The sequence below is a fragment of the Homo sapiens genome, chromosome 10 (genome assembly GCF_000001405.40).
Source record: "Homo sapiens chromosome 10, GRCh38.p14 Primary Assembly".
NCBI classification, from domain to species: domain Eukaryota; kingdom Metazoa; phylum Chordata; class Mammalia; order Primates; family Hominidae; genus Homo; species Homo sapiens.
The window spans coordinates 96,040,857-96,062,461 of NC_000010.11; the positions used below are offsets into that span (position 1 = coordinate 96,040,857).

Here is a 21,605-nt window from a genome sequence, read left to right on the forward strand (position 1 = left end):
CAAAAGAAAAGAGTAATGGTGTCACCTCTGGAAAAAACTGGGACCAGGGAGGGAAAGAAACTTGCTAGTCACTGTATAGTCTTCTATGGCTTGAAATCTTCTAGCTTTTTCATGCATTCATTTAAAAAACTTAAACAATTAAAAAATCAGTGCTTTTCCACGGCGTAAAGTTCTGTGAGTTACAGAAGATTTCCAGAGAATCTGGTCCCACCTCATCTCTTGTCAAATCTACCTGTGCCTTATGCTGCAGTCACAAAGGACTCTGCAGTTTCCCTATTCTGCCCTTTATATAGATGTTCTGCCTTTTTTACTTCCATTCTTTCATACCATTGGTGATCAGTGCTTCCTTGACTTAGAACGTCTTTCCTATCTCCTCTTCACTCCAGACATACAGTGGCCTCTATTTTCATTCCAAACATGCCTTCACTTTAGAGTCTTTGCGTGTACCAATTCCCTCGGCCTGGAATGCTCAGCCACCTGATACGTACCTACTCTCTCACTTCCCTCAGGCCTTTGCATGCCTTACCTTATCATGAAACAAAGTCCACCCATTTCTTTTTTTTTTTTTTTTTTCCGAGACACAGTCTGGCTCTGTCACCCAGGCTGGAGTATAGTGGCGCGATCTCGGCTCACTGCAACCACCGCCTCCCGGGCTCAAGCAATTCTTCTGCCTCAGCCTACCGAGTAGCTGGGATTATAGGCGCCCACCACCACACCTGGCTAATTTTTGTATTTTTAGTAGATACGGGGTTTCACCATGTTGGCCAGGCTGTTCTCGAACTCTCGACCTTAGGTAATCTGCTGGCCTCAGCCTCCCAAAGTGATGGGATTACAGGCATGAGCCACCACACCCAGCCCACCCATGGTCACTTTCTAGCCTTTTTTTCTGTTTATTTTTCTTCACATCACTTGTCACCATGTGATATGTTTTTTTGTTGTTGTTCATTGTATCTCTATTTCTAGTGGAATAAAAACTCTATGAGAGCAGAGACTTTAGGAGTTAAGTAAATACCTTAACTGTGTCCACCTTGCTCTAAAGGAATTAAATAAATCATAGTAAGTTTGAACTTTGCATTTTAAGGATTTACTATCTAAGACACACTATGGCAAAATATATGTGTAAAATGAACATTAATCCATAAAAGGAAATGGACATTGAAGTCTTCTCATCACAAGGCAAGTCCAGAAAACAATAATGATTTCTGAACAAATATATCCCAGTGAACAATATTTTCAAAGTAGAAGCGATAAATACAGTCTACTTCTTATACTAATGATTATAGTCTGTGCCCCATTTTTCTGAAAGTGTTCTTAAATAGGCCCTGGACAGTTATTTAGAAGCCAAATTATTATAAAGTTGTTTAATAGTCATGAAATGGAACCCAAGGATGTAGACACTATTTAAATGCCATTAAAAATGGCATGAAGCTTTTAGCCTGATGTGTCTACCTTCACTCTAGAGGACCCTGCAACTGAGAGACAGGCCAGGGCAGCCTTCTCCCTGGACTATGTCGGGTTAGGCCGGGATCTGCCAACTTCAGCTTCTGAGTTTCCCTTTTCTTGCCTTTGGTTCCTGCGGGCCTGCTCTCCTGGGTATAAGCATCGTCTATGGATAGGGTACGGCTCATATACATGTCTGCTGATGATCTTCAAATGAAGATGCCACCCAGAATCACATAAAATGTATTTATCACTTTGTAGTAGTTCTTTATCATCATGTATCTTTTTGGACAAAGGATTCAAAGTAAAAGGGGTGAAGTTTTAAAAATATTTACGTTTTACTATTAAGAGATTGATCTCCAGTCTCAGAAAAGTGGACAGTCTCACTGTCCTAGGGTTACCATCCACCTCTTTTGTGATAATCCACCAAAGAGGTTAAAATACAATTGATTAGGTTTCCTCTAATCACATTTCAGCCCCCATATCACCTCAATTGACGTCGGAGTGTTCTCACAGTTTTGCAGTTTCCTGATTTACGAGCACAGATGGTTAATTACATCCACCATGGGTTTGACAAGCAAGGTTACTAGAAGTAATCTTAAATGTCTTCATTCAAAGCTCTTGGGAATCCCTACAGCAACGAAAATAAGGAGGGGGAAGAGATTAATTAGGTTTCTAGAAGAAAGGTGGAGTTTGAGGTGGAACTTAAAAAAAGAGCATAATTTCACAGGAAAAAAAAAACGCTTCAGGGGCTGCAGAAACAGCTAAAGCACATTTGGAGGGCCTGATGATCCACGGAGCAGCCCCTGGGATGGAAGCGGTTGGTGCAACGTGAAGTAAGGTAAACCGAATCCATGCCGTGAAGACTTTTAAACGCCAAACTGAGGCGTCGGAACTTTGCTCCGCGGGCATCGAGGAGCCATCGAAGGTTCTCAGCAGGTGAGTGGCCTAACTGGATTGGTCACTGCAGTGATCCACCTTACAATTTCTCCGGCGCTCTCTGCCGACCTCAGCCGGCGATCAGGCCGGCTTCGCAGTAGGTGGCGGCTGAGCGCCCCGGCAACCGAAGCGCCAGGCCAGCCCAGGCCACGCCGCGCCGTGCGGGATGCTGACCGTACCCAGGCGGGAGCCGCCGCGCCGCCGCCTGGCGCTGCACCTGGGCCCGGCCCGGCCGCCAATTGGACGGCTCGGGGCGACCCCGCTGTATCGCGAGACGAGATTGGCAGCGGCGGGGCCTCAAGTGCCCCCGCGCTGGCTTTGTATGCGGAGCCGCCTGCCGGTCCTTTAACAATGGGCGGCGCGAGCGTCCAGGCGCTGGGCTCTAGCTGAGGCCGGCGCTTAGCGGCCCACTGTCCGCAGCATGAGCGGGGCCGGCGTCCGCCGCACGACGGCGGGGCTGGGGCTGTGAGGGCCGCGGTTCCGGGTAAGGGAGCCAGCGTGGGGCCGGGCGGCCCGGCAGGCCTGGGGTAGGCGTGGGGCAGCGGACCCTCCCGGGGTGAGGCGCAGAGCCTGGCTGGCCCGGCCTTTTGTTCCCCTTTCTGAGGCCGCGCGGAACGTGCGTTTCTCGGGGCTCCCGGGGAGGAGCAGGCTCCCGACGTCCATGCGGAGACCCGCGGCCAGGCAGACGCTCACCCCCGGGCTTTGCCATGGGAGCGTTTCCCCTCAGCGGGGCTATGAGCGTGTCACCTCTCCCCGCTCCTCAGGGAGGGCGGGAGAACTCCAGCCCCGGACGCAGGGAGCCCCAGCCGGGCCTCCCCCAGCTCTTCCCGAGCTCGCACCTGGCTCCGCGCTTTGGCAACTCAGGGCCCGAGTGGATCCCCTTTTGCCCGACACATAGTCGAGCAGTGAGTCTCAGAGTCCTTCGGCTCTTCCTGCGGGGGCAGACCCGGCTTCGCGTGTGGCGTTGGGGGAAACGACTCGGGTCGGGCTGGGTTGAGGAAGAGTCAAGTGAAGATGAGCAGCCACACCGGGTGGCCTGAGGTCACACCCCCCGGGGAGGGGGCGCAGAGGGTCGCGGGGGAGCCGGCAGTGACCGCGCCTGGGGTGTGTCTTACAGACTCGAGTTGCCGCGTCGGGCTGGGCGCGCCGCCGGGTCCCATGGAGCTGGAGGGGCAGTGGTGGCGAGGACAGCTGGCCGCCGATATTCACCAAGCGCTTCGCTACAAGGTAACTCCGAGGCCCGGCCTGCCTTCTCCTTCTGTGTGTCGCGCCAGTTGTTCTGAATCTCGGCTCTCTAGAAGGTCTAGTCAGGTTCTTTACTCACTATCTTCCGGGCCAGAAAAGGCGAGTTTGCTCATTTGCTCAAGGTTAATTAACTTCTTGGCTCCTTCTCTGGGATGTATCAAAAGAACCTGCAACCTGAATGAGTAGGGAGATGGTAGTTGGGCCAGGGAAGGTGGAAAGGGGCGTTCTGGCTTCCAGGTGGGTCATGAATTTGATCTTGTATTTTAAAAGATATATACACTGAATTTTTGTTGGGCAGAACAGCCCTCTTTGTTCGAGAGTTGCCGTTGCATGCAGCCAGTTTAAGTCGCTTTTGTACATAAATTCCTCAGCCTTTCCGCTAACTTGCCGTGAGACGTGGACAAGTGAAATTTCTGTTTCTTGATTTCCTCATCTGTAAAATGAGGAATAATGAGTGTGCCTTATGATTCTGGCGATTGTGAAACTTAAGTTAGTACCGTACATGTGCTTAGAAACTGCTCTTGGTATATAGTAAGCACTAAGTGATAACTTCTTATCACTTACCCCTCAGGATTTGGGCTGTTCAAAAGCCCTAAAGTGGAGGGAGTTGGCTGCCCCTTCCTGCTGATATCAAAGGCAGAAAGTAGACTTAATAGATATTGGAAAAAAATACTTTTCCAACACAAAGCAAAGTCTGTGTATTGTTGCTATTAAGTAACGGTTTTACTCTGCATGTGGCAAGGCAGATTAATGAGACATTTCTGCCTCTTCGATAACCAAAAGAGAGACCAGATCCAAAATGATCTCTAGCTTAACTCAGTTTCACCTTGGATAAAGAAAGCCATTTGTTAAATGTAGAAAATTGAGAAAGAAGCAAAACAGCTGACTTTCAATAAAAAGGATTCTGACTCTTGGGGTTGAGATCCTGGAATGATAATGAACTTTTATCTTGAGTTTCTGACCAGGTCAAGTAGATTGGAAAACCTAATTCTGACTTAAATTGTTACCCTTTTCTAGGCCTGAGATTTCTAAATGCTACTTAACTAATTCTGACATTCAGTCTCTTAGATTCACTAAAATACAGTTCAGCCCCCTAGGAGATGGTTTATACCACATAAAAATTCTAACTAATGGGATCTCTGGAGTGTTAGTTAGGAAAGAGTTGCAGTTTCTTGGAAAATTGTCCAGATACACTTTTGATCTTTTTTTTTTTTGGCAGATGTCATCTTTCAATGTGAAATGTTTTCTTTTTTAAAAAAATTAATATAGTTGCACATATTTTGAAAAGTGTTTTAAGTGTCAGCCTTTTTATCCCTCTGGTATGTAGTGAAATTAATTAGTTGATATTAAGAGTACTTTTTTTTTGAGTTGGAGTTTCACCTGACCTCAGGTGATCCACCTGCCTCGGCCTCCTAAAGTGCTGGGATTACAGGCATGAGCCACTGCGCCCAGCCAAGAGTATATTTTTTAATTGGCATGAAACTTAAAAGGTTTTTCTTGGTGATTTCCATACTTTTCAATCATTTTATGTGTAGATCATTTTAATTCGTGAGTGATTATCTGCATTTTGTCAATTGAGTTTGGACATGGGTTCTTTGTTTTTTTGTTTTTTCTCCTAGATTTAGATTTGTTGAAGGCTTTTGTGGATTAGTTTCTGGAGCATCCAAGGCATAAGACCCAACCTTATACTCACTCAAGTTGCTTATGAACTATCAGAGGACAAGGTAGCACAGGGTGTGAAGGAATGCCACTGAAAGTTTTATTGGGCCACCTATGGCCTACTGCCCTGGGTTGTCTTTATGTTTAAGCATTATGCAAACCATGGTTCTTACTGGCAACACTTTATACAAGAATTTACATTAATCTGTAAAACTTAAACTTGTGGAACTGGAGAGACCACTGTTTGTAATACACTGAAGGAAACTTAAAATGGACTTTTCTCCTAGAAAAGACGTGGTAATTCCAGGCTATTAATTGGTGATTCAGTCGGATAGTCATCTGTTTTTCTTCAACATGTTGATCATTTATGACATACATGATATCATGCCAGGTGTTAGAGCAATAACAGTGAACGAGACATGATCCTTGCCTTCATAGTCTAACCTTATCTATAATTTAGAGCATCCACATTTAGGTCTTCCTTTGGGCAGTTGCCATTGAGATACTGCAGAAGGTATTCTATGTTTAGGCCCTAGGTTTGTGGAGAAATATTTGGTGTGACTAGCATTGTGTTTACTAGGGAAGAGTGAAAATGACAATGAATGGAAATCATGCCAACTATCCACTCCCTCAAAAAACCCCTACAAAGCAGCTGTCACCTTACACCCTTTTGTCTCCTTTCTTCTCATTATTTTGCTGTGTATAGTTAGTGTCATAGGCTGTTTGGGAAAGTGTTTTTAGGAGCCTTAATGACAAATGGGAACAATTCTAGCTTTGTGAGAAACATTAAGAAAGTGAAGTCCATCAGTGTTTTCCAGGTGTTTCCAGGGAGTCTTTAAGACCATGTTCAGGCCACTTTTTGGGAAAACCTGCTCTGGTTTTGCCTTTTTTCCCCAACTCCCTAATCCCTGAGCTAAGTTAGATTTTCTTCCTAGGTGTTGCCATAATAACCTGTGGTGACTATATTGTGTGATAAGCTCTGTATTTGATTCACCTGCTAGAGATAGGCTTGAGACTGTTTTTCCAGCTTTTATGCCTGGGTTAGTATAGTGTCTGCTGCATGGGAGATGCTCAATAAATGTCACATGGTGGCAGCAAAGGTAAAGTTGCAACTCACTTACACCATTGTAAAGATCCAAAGAAAGAGTTAAGGAGAAAAGAAAAATCCTAGGAACTACATGAGAAATCGGCATCTTCCCTTTATGTGGAAAAAAAAAATTTTTTTGGCCAGGCATGGTGGCTCACACCTGTAATCTCAACACTTTGGGAGGCTGAAAGCAGGTGGATCACTTGAGTCCATGAGCTGGAGACCAGCCTGGGCAACATAGCGAGACCCTGTTGTACAGAAACTAACTGGGCGTGGCAGTGAGCGCTTGTAGTCCCAGCTACTCCAGAGGTTGAGGTGGTTGGATTGCTTGAGCCTGGGAGGTGGAGGGTGCAGTGAGCCAAGATGGCACCACTGTACTCCAGCCTGGGCTACAGGAAACCCTGTCTCAAAAAACAACAATTGATGTATTCTTTGGCTACACTACTAAATTACATTGACTATTTTATCCATTTATCTTAGGTAATATTAAGTTAGGTGAATATATAACTTCCCTTTTTTGTTTATCGTAAAATGTATCAACATAAAACTTTTTTTCCCCAACTTTTAAGTTCAGGGGTACGTGTGCAGGATGTGCAGGTTTGTTACATAGGTAAACGTTTGCCATGGTGGCTTACTGCACAGATCATCCCATCACCTAGGTATTAATCCCAGCATCCACTAGCTATTCTTCCTGATCCTCTTCCTCCTCCCACCCCCACCCTCCGACAGGCCCCAGTGTGTGTTGTTCCCCGCAACATGTGTCCATGTGTTCTCATCATTTAGCTCCCACTTATAAGTGAGAACATGTGGTATTTGGTTTTCTTTTCCTGCATTAGTTTGCTAAGGATAATGGCCTCCAGCTCCATCCATCTCTCTGCAAAGGACGTGATCTTGTTCCTTTTCATGGCTGCACAGTATTCCATGGTCTGTATGTACCACATTTTATCCAGTCTATCATTGATGGGCATTTAGGTTGATTCCATGTCTTTGCTCTTGTGAATAGTGCTTCAGTGAACATACACATGCATGTGTCTTTATAGTAGAATGATTTATATTCCTTTGGTTATATACCCAGTAATGAGATTGCTAGGTAAAAGGGTATTTCTGCCTCTAGGTCTTTGAGGAATCACCACACTGTCTTCCACAATGGTTGAACTAATTTACACTCCCACCAACAGTGTAAAAGCGTTCCTTTTTCTCCACAACCTTGCCAGCAGCTGTCATAACATAAAACTTACCATTCTAACCATTTTTAACTGTACAGTTCAGTGACATTAGGTACATTTGCATTGTTGTCACCACTATCTATCTTTAGAACTTTTTCATCTTCCCAAACTGAAACTCCATACCCATTGAACGATTACTCCCCAATTTCCCACCCTCTAGCTTCTGATAACCACTATTCTACTTTGTCCCTGTAAATAGGACTATTCTAGGTAACTCATTAAGTGGAATCATACAATAAATGTTCTTTCATGACTTTTTTCATTTAGCATACTGTCTCCAAGGTTCAACCATGTAGTATATTATAAGAATTTTCTAAGGCTGAATAATACTCCATGTATATACCACATTTTGTTTATCCATTCATCTGCTGGTGGGCATTTGCATTGTTTCCACCTTTTGGTTATTGTGAGTAATCCTGTTTTGAACATGTGTGTACAAATCTCTCTTCAAGTCCCTGCTTTCAGTTCTTTTGAGTATGTACCTAAACGTGGAATTGCTGGATCATGTGGTAACTCTGTTTAATTTATTGAGGGATTGCCATACTGTTATCTGTAACAACTACATCATTTTACATTCCCACCAGGAATGCACAAGGATTCCAGTTTCTCCACATTCAAGCTAACACTTATGATTATCTGGTTTTGTTTTGTTTTGTTTTGTTTTTTGATAATAGCAATCCAACTAGGTGTGAAGTGCTGTTAGTGGTTTTGATTTGCATTTCCTAATAATTAGTGATGCTGAACAAACATCTTTTTCATGTTTTATGATATTTTTTGGGCATTTGTGTGTATCTTCTTTGGAGAAATGTCTATTCAAATCCTTTGCCCATTTTTATAATTAGGTTTTTTGGTTGTTATCCAGTTGTATAAGTTATTTATATAATCTAGCTATTTACCCCTTATCAGATATGATTATAAATACTTTCATCCATTCTGCGGGTTGCCCTTTTACTCTGTTGATAGCATCTTTTGTTAAACAAAAGTTTTTAATTTTGTTAAAGTCCCATTTCTCTTTTCTTTTTCTTTTTCTTTTTTTTTTTTTTTTTTGCAGGGTAGGGGAAGTTCTGCTTTTGGTATCGTATCCCTGTTACTTCTTCTATTGTGATACCTGTTGGGTTTAGTATCAGTATTATGCTGATCTTATAAAATGAATTTGGAAGCTTTCCATCTTTCTCTATGCTCTGGAAATATTTTAATAGTATAGAATTTTTCCAGTTTTTAAAAAACAAGTTGATATAATATAGTCCTGAGATTGAAGTGATTTTAGGTGTATGAGAGGATGATGGGAAAGGGCAGATCATAAAACTGTTAAAAGGGAAACAAAATTAGAAGATACTAGAGGAAAGGTACTGCTTTCTACACTGTTGCAAGTATAATACTGTATGCAGCATATCCACTTATCTATTACCTTCTAACCAAAAGTTCTGAGCATCTTGGAGAGGTGTAGGGGCGTGTGTGTGGTATGTGGTTGGTTTGTCAGGGATGTTTTTCTGAAAACACCTGGTAGGGAAAACAGGATTCTCTTATTAAAAATCTTTGTAGGATGTATCCATTCTAGAAAGCAAGAAACAAGAACATCTATAATTGTTCACATCAGAAGTGGTTAAGAGTAAGGAGAAAAATTTGGTTTTAAATGTCATTCATTATCCCTCCACTTAACTTTTTCATTTTTGTATTCCAGTCAAGAAAAGTATGTTTTAGGCACTTGTAATACTAATATATTGGAAAAACAATGTTAAGTCATTGCCTTGTGGGGATACGCCTACAGATAGGTCAGACTAAATGTTGTTCCTTTTGACTTAGGAGCTGAAGTTGCCCTCCTATAAAGGCCAGTCCCCTCAGTTAAGTCTCAGACGGTATTTTGCTGACTTGATTGCCATTGTGAGCAATCGCTTCACACTCTGCCCTTCTGCCCGCCATCTTGCTGTCTATTTACTGGACCTGTTTATGGACCGCTATGACATCTCTATCCAGCAGCTGCATTTAGTTGCGCTTTCCTGCCTGCTTCTAGCAAGTAAGTATGAATCTGATTTACATGACTGGAAATTTCTGATGTTTATATAATAAAATAAATTTATGTAGAACTCAGTGAAATATCATCAAATCCCATTCATTCCAGTTCACTAGTATCAAGAAGCTTATGTTAAAAGTGCTTCTCAGTGTAATAATTCTTAACCAGACATTGAAAAATGGCTTTGGAGCCTGTTAAAAACATGTGCCTAAGCCGTACATTCTCGGCCACTCCAGATCTACTAAGACAAAATCTACATAATGGGTACTGGGTATTTTTTAACTTTTTGAAAAAGTTCCAAAGGTGATTTTGATTTACCTTTCCAATTGAGAACCATTGTCTTAAAGCAGTGGTTCTAAACCAGGAGCAGTTTTGTCCCACAGGGAACACTTGGCAACGTGTACAGACGTTTTGGTTGTCACATCTGGTGATAAAGTGGGAGATGCTTTTTTAGCATCTAGTACATAGAGGCCTGGGATGCTGCTAAACATCCGGTAGTGTACAGGACAGTTTCCCATAACAAAATTCTCTGTCCCAAAACATCAATGGAGCTAAAGTTGAGAAACTGTCTTAAAAGTACCATATTCTTATATTAGAATACTTTCTACTGACTAAATAATGAGTTGGCTTAATGAACTAAAAGTTAATGTGCAACTACTATAAATGTGAAAACTTTTGCTTATGCATTAGACCAACTGTGTAGTAGGCTCCAAGATACAATCTGATACAACCATATTTGTTACTTAGTACAGAATATACTGGTGGATCTTTTGGCCCCTCTTTCTCTTTACATCTTCCTATACCTCATTTCATTGCTCGTTGGTACTCTCACTGAAGATAGGGCACGTAAAGGAATTGAAATTGTGTTTTTTTTTCTTTTAATAATGTGGAAGATTGTATTTGATATGGAAGTTGAATCAGTAATATAGTTTCTATATTCATGTTATTACAATGAAATTTATAGTATGTAGATGTATTGATAACCTTCACTTTTAACTCTCACTTGAGGGATAAAGATTGTATTTGATATTGAAGTTAAATCAGTAATGTAGTTTCTGTATTATCCATGTCATTATAATAGAATCTTAAAGGAGTATGTAGATATACTGATAACCTTCACCTCTAACTCTCCCTTGAGGTTTTGGGGTCAAATATGGCTGGGATGAAATAAGGAACATTCCCCCTATATCCATGCCACCAGAGTTCTTTAGCACTTCTGTGCCTGGCTGCTTATAAATCTAAAACCAAATGTAGTCCTATGTAGTATCATTTCTGGTACTAATCTCTTCTCAGATTTTATTTTCTGACCTTTATTCTTCCTTTGATCTGATGACCTCAACTACTTATTTTGTCCCCAGAATGTCCCTTTGTAAGTTATTTCAGATCCATTGTAGAACCAGGCTGAATGTAAATAAAACACAGCTGCAGCATGACTTCCCACTGCCTATATATTAAGGTGGAAACTGCTTAATGTAGTGTTTAGAATCTTTCATCTGGACCCAGCCACCTTTCCAGTCTCATCCCCATGTACGTTGAGCAAAATTCTTAGAATACCATTTACTTCCTGAATATCTACATTTCCCCTTAATCTACTGTTCTCTAAAATTCAGACACTTCACTCATCCCTCATCCCCCTACCCAGGAGCCAGAGAGGTAATGCTTGTACATTTATAATTAACCTTTAATTTAGCCTCTAATTAAAGTTTCATGCTCATAAGTAATCATGTGTGTAATACTGTATGTGTTTAATCACTGGCTGTGAAGCCCTTTGGGGTTTAATAGTTTGTATAAGATTGGAAAAGCTCACACGTGACAGTTTAGATGTGTGAGTCCACAAATAAAATGGATTTTTGTTATTGTACAGAATGTTTATTATAGAATCAGTTTACAGTAGAGTGTCACTGGAAATCAGACATGCAAGTTAGATTATTTTAAAAACTTGGTATCATTAATGGAAAGTAACTGTGTGGCTATCACTGTCATTTTAACACTAGCACCTGCTCTATGCCTGTGATTTTTAAAGTGTAGCGTGGGCCAAGTGGGAAGGCCATCTTTGTGTACCATCTTAGGTTGGTTGGAATGGAGTTTTCAATTGTTCTTATTTTTAAATTGTGTATTTCTGTTAGTTTAAGGTCATGAACAATTTATTTTATTGAACTATTTGGATTAATATCAGTGGTAAGATGTAGTTATTTGTGACTCTTTCCAGTAATTAGACATTAGGATCTGTATTTGCTGGGGTTCAAATATGAATTATCACCTATTACTGAAAGAACTGGATACCTCCCTCCTTTTTCTGCTGATGCCTCCTGATTTCCCTTTCCTTGAGGGAAGAATTGCTTTTACATTCTTCCTTTTGCATTGGAGAGTAGGAATGTATGTGAGGTATTCTTCAGGATTTCTGCTCCTCCCAAGTAGCAAGTTGTTCAAAAGAGTTTGAGCTATCAGCTCTACACCAGGGTCAGGAATTGAAGAGGTTAGCCCTTAGTAGGCAGCAGTCTCTCTACCCTTGCCCCCCAACCCTAGTCTGTAACTTTACAGCAGAAGAGCTTAGGATTCTTATAAACTGATAAACTCTTTTCAGTGTCTGATTCCTGTTTTAAATTTGTGGAGTTCATTGTAATGGGAAGCCGTAGGTGGTTTGGCCAAAGATGGAGCATACCTTGTAAGTTCTAGAAGCAAATGCTTATGTCTACACTATTAGAAGAAGAAAGGGCCTACAGATTATCTCTGATTGGAGAGCTATGTGTAGTGTTTTGGAGCAATGACCATAGTGATGGATTCCCTGGGTTGGAGTCTCATCAGCAATATGAATTTCAACAACCCCTGAATCTCAGGTTATTTCTTTATAAGATGGAAATAAAGATACCTTACAAAGTTGTTCTGGGATCAAGTGGGGGTAATATGTTTAAAAGCATGTAGGAAATGGAAACATTAAAAGATTAGCATGGTAATTATTAATTCCTCCATAAGTTGCTCTGTTACCTTTAGCCTGCCTCCTTTACCCTAAAGGTTTTGACCTATTTCAAACTGGACCCTAATTTGTCCAGGGAAGTTCTCCTATTCCAACTCTTTCACATGTATGCCCTGGCTTCCCTTGGCTTCTGTGACCAACATTACATTTATGGAGCATGTGGAAGTAATCTTGGAGATAAGATTTCTCATAATTTGCTCAAGATCTTACATAACTAAGAAATGATCTTGGAGTCAAGACAAAGTGAAAAGTGAGACAGAGGCTTTTAGTAGTAACAATTTGTAACAAGTGCTTGTTTCCCCTTGCCAACCAACACTGGGTTAGCAAAGCTTTTTACTGATGTGTGAAAATTTATATCTCACAGTTGGTTTAATTTACATCTCAATTTTTAATGAGCTCAGAATTTTTTTCTATGAATTACCTTTTTCTTTTGTTTGCCCATTTTTATATTAGATTCATTTTATAAATTTGTGATAATTCTTAGTGTATGTTAGGGATGACTTTTTTCCCCCTACTTAGTAATAAAAAAATAGAATGTGGGTTGGCAGAGCACTCGGTGACATCTGATCCGTGCCCTATTCAGTATATAAATCTTCTCTACCACATACCTACTATTCACTGCTGGCTTTGAAAATGTGTTGGTTTCCATGGCTGATATGAACATATCCTACAAAGGAAAGACAACCCAGTGTTTTTGTTTCTGTGGCCTCTAATTCTTTATTTTCTGGGAAGCAGATATGAATTTCCTGTGCCCTTATTTCCTATTTGGGGCCTTTATCAATATAATCACATGGCTTCTGTTATTTCCTTTCAATTGAAGAAACTGATCTTTGTGAACTGTGTGTGGTAATGTGGATAAGTAAACTTAAAATGAACATAGGCATAGCAGTGAGCACAACAAAAACTATAGATAGGAATGCAGGTACTCAATTGACATTATCACACTTTTTGAAATCTTTTAATATCCATGTATCTGAATATTTATTACTATACATAATGGAAAAGTTCCAAAAAATTTGAACCCTGAATTAAAACCCCAAGTATGGTTATTTATTCAGAATCAGATTATTCTTAACTTTGCAAGATCAATATGCAAAGTCTTTCACACTTGTAGCCAAATATTTTATAAATATAAACATCCCATAGATGCTTAATAATACAGAAATCTGTCAGTTCTGGTCTAGAAGTGCAAATTTGGGAATTCAAACATAAATTTTCCTTTTGGCTTCCATTTTTGGTTTGATTTAACTTATCTGACCTTAAATGGATTGGCCAACCTCGCTACCTTGGTTTTTGAGCAGTGAAATTGGTCATATGCAATTTTTTTTCCCAATGTTGAAGATTTCAAGGAGATAATATGAAACATTCTTGCTCCTTGAATTATGATGTATTAATTTCTTCAAAGGAACTTTAAGCATAATATAAATAAACTCATTAATTTCTACAGTATTCCTTTGAAGTATTCTGCCAGTATTGCTGTTGCTTCACAAATGGCAGGGTGCTTGAAAGCTGTAATGATTCATCCAGAGACACTGAACTAAATTCCTAGGTCATTCTCCTTCTGAAGAATTTCACTTCATACTAGGAACACTGGTTCCCTCTTCTTTTTTCAGGCAATAAGCTGGATAACTATGTCATACAGACCACTTTAGTGCTTTCAACTTTAAGTATTTGCTATTGGCAAAACTTGTTAAATTGATCTTTATGTGATTTTAATTAGGAAGGGCTATCTAGATTCAAGTCTGAATTACTTAAGTTTGGGATCAACTTCTACCTGCAGCAATATTTAGAGTGGTTTAGATCTAAGGAAGTTCACCTCTCTGCCATCACTCCTGCTTCCTTGGGCTTAGATTCTTCACAACACATGAGCTTAGAATCTCCTGGCATAGGCATAATATGATGGTTTTAAACCTTAAATCTAAAATAGAACACAGTAATAGGAGCTTTAGTTATAATTTCCTTTCTTCTGTGGACCACCATGGAACAAAGACCCAAAGAGGCTTGATGACAACTCTGGTTCTGTTGCTGCATCTGGAAAATCATAGTAGTACTTAATAGTTTGTAAATGTTCTCCAGCCATCAGTTCTAGAAATACTTACTAAAATGAAGCCTTTATATGTAGAGACAGTAAAATGCATGTTTGGAAAGTAAAGTGTAAGATGGTACATAATCTATAGAAACATTCTGGGGCTGGAAAGAGAATCTTATTCTTCAGCTGTGCATAGCTGAAACCTTATAGATGGGTATTTCCAGAAAAGAAATTAATCCCTTTGAATAATGTTCAGCCATCATATTGTCTTTACTCCTATTCTGCTTTCAGTAAGGGAATTTAAAAGCAGATATAAACTATCTCCCCCATGCCCCTTTTTTCTTTAACAGACTAGATTTTTGTTTTGAATTCAGAAGAAGTGGGGGATGGGGCTTTTTGTGGAATGATAGTGCTTGTGTTAAATGTTCACCCAGTTTTTCCCTCCAGTCTCTCTCTGGAATTGAGATTATGTTGATGCCAAGATGAAACAATTGGAGCTTAACTATTTTTTATTTCAGATAAAGCTATGACATTAAATTGTTAAAACTATCTTCTCCTCTTGGCCGGGCGCAGTGGCTCACGCCTGTAATCCCAACACTTTGGGAGGCCGAGGCAGGCAGATCACAAGGTCAAGAGATCAAGACCATCCTGGCTAACATGGTGAAACCCCGTCTCTACTAAAAATACAAAAAATTAGCCAGGCGTGGTGGCGGGCGCCTGTAGTCCCAGCTACTCGGGAGGCTGAGGCAGGAGAATGGCGTGAACCCGGGAGGTGGAGCTTGCAGTGAGCCGAGATCACGCCACTGCACTCCAGCCTGGGCGACAGAGCAAGACTCCATCTCAAAAAAAAAAAAAACTATCTTCTACTCTAAAATCAAATAATTTATTTTACCAGCTACCACCCACCTGCAAAAAAAATTTCCTGAAAATATTCAGCTGATGAGATTGAGTTATTTTTTTCACTGGCACATGACTATTTCCATTCTATACTAGAACACAGATCAAAATGTTTATGTATTTCAAGCATTTTTTTTTAGGGGATTGGGGAAAGGTTGGGGATGGTGGCACTGGGAAAGAAAACACAGGGTTCTGGCACAATTGTATCTGTGTAAGGTAAGTACGTCTTTGGATCTAAATCCTGGCAATAAGACAGCAAATCCCATTTTACTGACTAGACCAATAATGATCACTTGCCTGACATTTTCTCTCCCCTCCCATCCCCTTTTCTTATAAGGTAAATTTGAAGAAAAAGAAGACAGTGTGCCTAAGCTGGAGCAGCTCAACAGCCTGGGTTGTATGACTAATATGAATCTAGTATTAACAAAACAAAATTTGCTACATATGGAACTATTATTATTAGAAACCTTTCAGTGGAACCTCTGCCTTCCAACAGCCGCCCATTTCATTGAGTATTATCTCTCTGAAGCAGTACACGAAACAGATCTTCATGACGGCTGGCCAATGATTTGCTTGGAAAAGACTAAACTCTACATGGCCAAATATGCAGATTACTTCCTGGAAGTATCTTTGCAAGGTGGGTTGTTGTGAATACCAGTAAGTGACTTGTGCACTTGTGACTCGTGTATTCTGTTCCTTAAGTTCATTTTTGGTGTCTCCACAGATTATGCCTTTCTAAATTATGCACCTTCTTTAGTAGCTGCTGCATGTGTGGCTTCTTCGAGGATTATACTTCGTCTTTCTCCAACGTGGCCTACAAGACTACATCGTCTTACTGCCTACTCTTGGGATTTCTTAGTGCAGTGTATTGAACGACTGTTGATGTAAGCCTTTTTATTCTTGTGTTTGTACTTTCTCATTAACAGTTTTCTTCATGTATGAGGTGCCCTGAAAACAGCTTCTGAAAGGCACAGAGTTCCTAGGTTATTTGCTTTTGGCAGCAGTTACTTGCTGCCATGAGCAAGCCCATGTATGAGCAGAACTCTAGGGAAGGTGTCATTGTTAGAATAATTCTGGGCACATTATAAGGAAAGGAGCTGCTTGTGTGTGTCTGTAAGTCTGTAACCCTGAGATCAGTCCAGGCCAGCCTTGCCCCATTCCTAACATCATTGAATTTTGGGGGCCACCAGGATGTTACCAAATTGGCAGCCACACTTACGTGCTTATTATGGACACATCTCCCAAACTGGAAATAATCCTCAAAGCTACCAGGAAGGTTCACATCAAGGGAAATAGCTTTAGAAGAACACAAGCGAGGTCTCACTGTTGTTGGAATTATGGTGCAGTGACTGCTACCTGGGTAGTGGTGGTGGAAGAAGCTGTTGAGTTGGGGATGGGGCATGATTTTCTTGCAGATTTCTTCTCAAGCAGTATTTTTAATAGTTTCCTTTCTCTCCACGTTTCAGCGCTCATGATAATGATGTGAAAGAAGCAAACAAACAGAGAGGGCAAGCAGGACCTCAGTCAGCGCAACTAAGTGTATTCCAGACAGCCTCCCAGCCATCACGGCCAGTTCACTTTCAGCAACCTCAGTATCTCCATCAGACACATCAGACCTCACTGCAGTATCGCCATCCTACGTCAGAACAACCAAGCTGTCAGCAGATTGTATCGACCACACACACCTCATCTTACACACTACAGACATGTCCTGCTGGCTTCCAAACTAGTGTTCAGGGCCTTGGGCACATGCAGACTGGTGTTGGGATGTCACTGGCAATACCAGTAGAAGTTAAGCCCTGTCTGAGTGTTTCTTACAACCGGAGTTATCAGATAAATGAACATTACCCTTGTATTACTCCATGTTTTGAAAGGTGATTATTTGTGAAGCTGATAACCGACCCAGACTGCTTTGTGACATGAAGCTATGGGTAAGCGTTTTGTAAACTTCTGTTCAAAAGGAAAGGGATCTAAATGACATCAGAACTCTTCAGGTACCAGCACCAGGAAGACTGAATATCCTTTTTAATGCACCATGAATCCTGGGAGACTAAGCAAATTAACAGTATGTCAAATTCTGTTACAACAAATCCCTGTATGACAAAAATGTTCAAGTCCTGGCTGATGGTCCAAATATTTCAAAAATATTCAGTACAACAGAAAATTTGGACAGACTTCAATTTGCCATTTTGAGATTTGACCTGTGGTAGCATCTGGGCCTAATGTTGGCTTCTAAGTCAAAGACTAAATGTTTATCTCATCTATGGACTTGCCAAACAGTCTTTTATGAAGGAAAGTTACAGTATTAATTTTTGAAAAGGTTTTTTTTATTCTGCAATTTTTTATTTTTGTTCTACACATGAATTTTTGACTAAGTTTAAACTCATGAATTGTTATGCTATACCAATCTGCAGTAAAAAAAATTTTTTTAGATGATTCTATATAACTTCGTCTCACAAATAGTGTAGGTATCTGGGTTTATATACTAAAATTAAGGGTGGAGAAGATCTTATTTTTTAAATCATGGTCATAATTTTTCTTTTTTTCCCTAAGTGATCAACATCAAATTTTTAGAATTAAAATACATTTAACTCAGGGAATTTGTACTACTTGGAAACACTTAACTGTAATGCAACATGCCTTGGGAATGTTATAGTGTGAACTACCTTTATAACATAGGTTAAAATACGCTTGCTAGGGTGTGTTTTCAAATGAGAACATAATATAGCTCAGAATGAAGTGGTAGTTCCTGTGATTCATAATACATATGTAGGTTTTGCATATCTCAGTGCAATCCATGATTTATACTCAGAATCGACATTCTTAAAAAGTTATTTCAAGGGATGGCATAACTGTAAGAGGTCAGTGCTAGAATAAAGTCCTGTAGGTTTATTTTGGAAGGGACTGTGGCCAGGGTAGTTCTCAGGTTGTGCTAGAGCAGCACTTTGTTATGTGGAAGACAGGTTTTTTAAGCAACCTTTGAATCCAGCTCTAGTCAGTCTAAGCAGGCAAAGGTAACTGATGACTAAATTTCAGTAGCTACTTTCATTGGATTGACCCTACAACTGCCCTGGGACATTTCACTGTACCAGTATTAACTGCAAACAGCAATAATTGTCATTACAGCAAGGGCAGTTTGGGGGTAAAGCATTTTGGAGGAATAACCTTAAAAAGTTAAAAAGTCATTGTAATAACTGATAAACTGTATACATTGTGCTCCTTTCTGTGGGAGAAGAAAGATTTGGTGGAGGGAAGCTTTCTGGTTTAAAAATTAGTAAGGTGTGTCTTTTTGTTTTTTTTAAGATAGCACTTGAATAGAAGGGAAAACTGCATGGCAGATACGTGACTGCCACAATATGCATCGAAGACAAACTTACTATAAAGATGTTGTGGGTATGCAGCAGGAGTCTCAGTAATCAAGCCAATGGCCTTTGTCAGGAAGGGAAGGGGCTCAACACAGTGATGGACTGATCCAGATGGCTCCCGGGGATGAATGTGGGTGGGTAGCTTCTGTCAGTATCAATGCTTAGAGAAATATCCTTTCCTTAAAAAGAAAATAACTTTTATATTTAGAGTACATAGGGCATGATGTGGATTTATTAGTCTGGTAGATAAAATGAAAAACCACTCAGGTAAGAACACTCACTCATGGCAGTTTTTAAGCATGAAAATTGTTTTCTGAAAGTATCATCACTTTTCCTTTTTAAAGAAGGCTGCTAATTGGATTTTGGTAGTTCTTACCTCAAGAAAACTTGAATTATTTGGGGGAAAGTAGGCTCAAAAGAGAATATATCTTTCACATTCACATTCAGAACCCAGCAACCTGGAGTCCAATTTTCAGTATTTTAACTACCTCAATAATGCTATGAATGTAAGATATTGGGATAGAGATCCCAACTTGAAACAACAGCCAGTGCCTGTGGTAACTTAATGTCTTGTCAAATACTTTTATTGATTGGTTTATATGCCATTCTTGTTATAGAAGAATATGCCTTTTAAAAAAGCTTATTAATAACACTTTCCCAATTTATATTTTAAAAAGCTAAAGAACACTGGATTAATAATCTTTTGGGAGGGTAGAATAAAATAATTGATTACTATTGCTGCATACCCGGGGTGGGATGGGGTGGTTGGAGAACCAGAACTATTTTTAAAACATTAGGTTTCAATATAAATACAACTCACAACTGCTAGCTTTGGGGGGTGGGGGAACATTGTGTGGGTTTTGTTTTGTTTAATTTATTGATTAGTCTTTAAAGTAGGCTTTTTTTTTTTTTTTTGAGAATACTGGACCATCATTAAATGTGTACTGTGAAGAGATTAATATGTATGAAGGGCTTTACCAAAGTCCACTAAATAAACACTACTCAAGTACAGACTGCAAACCAAAATGTATCTGTGTTACGACATTAATTGCAAATAGCAAGTATGGTGCTAAAGTCTACACCAATGGAATTAGATGAGTGCTATGCACTTAATTTTAAAATAAAACTAGTTTTCAGTAAAATGGCTTCGGTATTTTTGTTTTAAATACAAACTTGTATATTTGCAGCTCTAGTGAACCATCTCATCATGTAATTCAGACTTGGAATCATGATTTTATTTACTAAAAGCCATCAAGATGTAGAATATAGCCATTAGTGGCATAAAACATCCGTTCATTGCGTATTCCATACTGAGCATTAAAGCCCACAAAAGTATATTGGACACCACTGTTGCCTTTTTGAGCTTAAAATCAGTTGTTAGTATGTTAGCAACTACAGATTCTAATTTATTCAACAATCATGCAAGCATCAGAAAATCTGAAGTTTGATGTCAAAAGTAGGGACACAGAAAATGGTTAAAGCTATGAGAAGGAATATAGGGTCTACAGTGAGTGAGAATGGTCTATTTACCTGAGTATAAATATCATTTGCTACTTAATTCAACTCAAACCTTAGCAGATGGAATTTGTTTTGAAAAGTAAAATTTAACAGGTTTGTACAAGCGGGTTAGGAATTTACACTGCCTTTTTAAAAAACATTTTTGAAATTAGTCTCAAAACTATCGTATTGTCACTTGTTCTGGCACAGTGCCAGGGTTTAGCAGCCCTCAAGAGTTAATATACCATGTTCTTTAGGGCTGACTTTAAGAAAAAGAAAAAGCATTCCAAACCAGGCCAGGTAGCTTTGCCTTGAGGTGATCTGAGCCCCATGTGGCAAGTTTATAACCAACAACTGCCTCTCAGGCACGTGGTAAAAGCCTCCCTAGCCTCAAGCAGCTTACATCTAGTTTGATAAATACGACTAGCACACTTGCAGCAATTAGGCTAGTAGAGGCCCGCACGGTGGCTCATGCCTGTAATCCCAGCATTTTGGGTGGCTGAGGCCAGTGGATCACTTGAGGCCAGGAGTTTGAAGCCAGCCTGGGCAACATGGTGAAACCCTGTCTCTACTAAAAGTACAAAAACTAGCTGGGTGTGGTGGCACGTACCTGTAGTCCCAGCTACTTGGGAGACTGAGGCACAGGAATCACTTGAACTCAGGAGGTGGAGACTGCAATAAGCTGAGATCACACCACTGCACTCCAGCCTGGGCAACAGAGCTAGAGTCTGCCACTAAATAAAATTAGGCTGGTGTAGTCTGGAACTCGGTTTAATATCGTGTTAGTTTAGGAATCACTCAACATTCATTTTTCAATCCCTTAGATTTTAAAGTAGCAAGTACAGTCAGTTGACAGCATAAGGACCAGGCTCAGGGATCATATGGGAAGGACACCTGCTATCCTATCCTTGCCTGACTACCACTCTGTTTCCTCCCATAACACCCTCTGCCTCCCAGGTAAGCATCACCACCCTGAATTTATTAGTTCTTAAGTCCATGAAGCCTTGACATGGTATGCAATTTATATGTAAATGATTTCCCCTATTCTTAAAGTTTTGTCTACTCAAAGGGACCTGTAATTAAAAATGTAAGAGTGACTGTCTTGTATCCATTTACTTGCTAGTTTCTCCCTACTAGAACCTTGTGTTAGGCCGTTCTCGCATTGCTATAAAGAAATACTCAGGACTGGGTAATTTATAAAGAAGAGAGGTTTAACTGGCTCATGCTTCTGTAGGC

At 40.3% G+C, this 21,605-nt stretch overlaps 1 protein-coding gene and 1 long non-coding RNA gene across 13 annotated transcripts in view, besides 2 other annotated features; one reads left to right on the forward strand and one right to left on the reverse strand.

Annotated features, from left to right (window-relative positions):
• The window catches only part of ENTPD1-AS1 (ENTPD1 antisense RNA 1), a 337,030-nt gene that overhangs the window by 287,651 nt on the left and 27,774 nt on the right, over window positions 1–21,605 (reverse strand). The window contains exon 3 of one of the 4 annotated variants that reach the window (NR_134322.1): window positions 1,929–2,071. The exons of the other annotated variants lie outside the window; for them this stretch is intronic. This is a non-coding gene — a long non-coding RNA (ENTPD1 antisense RNA 1). The remainder of the gene's footprint in view (window positions 1–1,928; window positions 2,072–21,605) is intronic. 4 annotated transcript variants of the gene reach the window in all.
• Window positions 2,116–2,310: a silencer, noted in NCBI's record as "fragment chr10:97802729-97802923 (GRCh37/hg19 assembly coordinates)". NCBI's record gives its function as "represses an EF-1alpha promoter that drives an FKBP-Casp9 reporter gene in an ReSE screen in K562 erythroleukemia cells {active_cell/tissue: K562}" and the evidence as "EXISTENCE:reporter gene assay evidence [ECO:0000049][PMID:32094911]".
• CCNJ (cyclin J) lies at window positions 2,212–20,014 on the forward strand. Of its 9 annotated transcripts, none has more exons than XM_011539885.3 (6): window positions 2,212–2,379; window positions 3,497–3,606; window positions 9,400–9,610; window positions 15,845–16,144; window positions 16,232–16,391; window positions 16,974–20,014. In XM_011539885.3, the coding sequence occupies exons 2-6, from the start codon at window positions 3,538–3,540 to the stop codon at window positions 17,383–17,385; spliced, it is 1,152 nt and encodes a 383-aa protein (XP_011538187.1). In that variant the 5' UTR covers window positions 2,212–2,379; window positions 3,497–3,537; the 3' UTR covers window positions 17,386–20,014. The 9 variants fall into 9 exon arrangements, with proteins under 9 accessions (XP_011538187.1, NP_001127847.1, NP_061957.2 ...); NM_001134375.2 differs by lacking the exon at window positions 2,212–2,379 and adding an exon at window positions 2,727–2,863; NM_019084.5 differs by lacking the exon at window positions 2,212–2,379 and adding an exon at window positions 2,727–2,863 and having other exon boundaries at window positions 16,265–16,391.
• Window positions 2,438–3,007: a silencer, noted in NCBI's record as "silent region_2652". NCBI's record gives its function as "represses an Ori minimal core promoter by ATAC-STARR-seq in GM12878 lymphoblastoid cells {active_cell/tissue: GM12878}" and the evidence as "EXISTENCE:reporter gene assay evidence [ECO:0000049][PMID:35858748]".

Excerpts from the sequence above, each read along its gene's own strand:
- CCNJ (XM_017016354.2), top strand. The coding sequence starts at position 3,394 with ATGAGCAGCCACACCGGGTGGCCTGAGGTCACACCCCCCGGGGAGGGG. Across the intron at positions 9,611-15,844 it reads TTCCTGCCTGCTTCTAGCAA|GTAAATTTGAAGAAAAAGAA; the intron begins GTAAGTATGAAT and ends TTTTCTTATAAG. Across the intron at positions 16,145-16,231 it reads CCTGGAAGTATCTTTGCAAG|ATTATGCCTTTCTAAATTAT; the intron begins GTGGGTTGTTGT and ends GTGTCTCCACAG.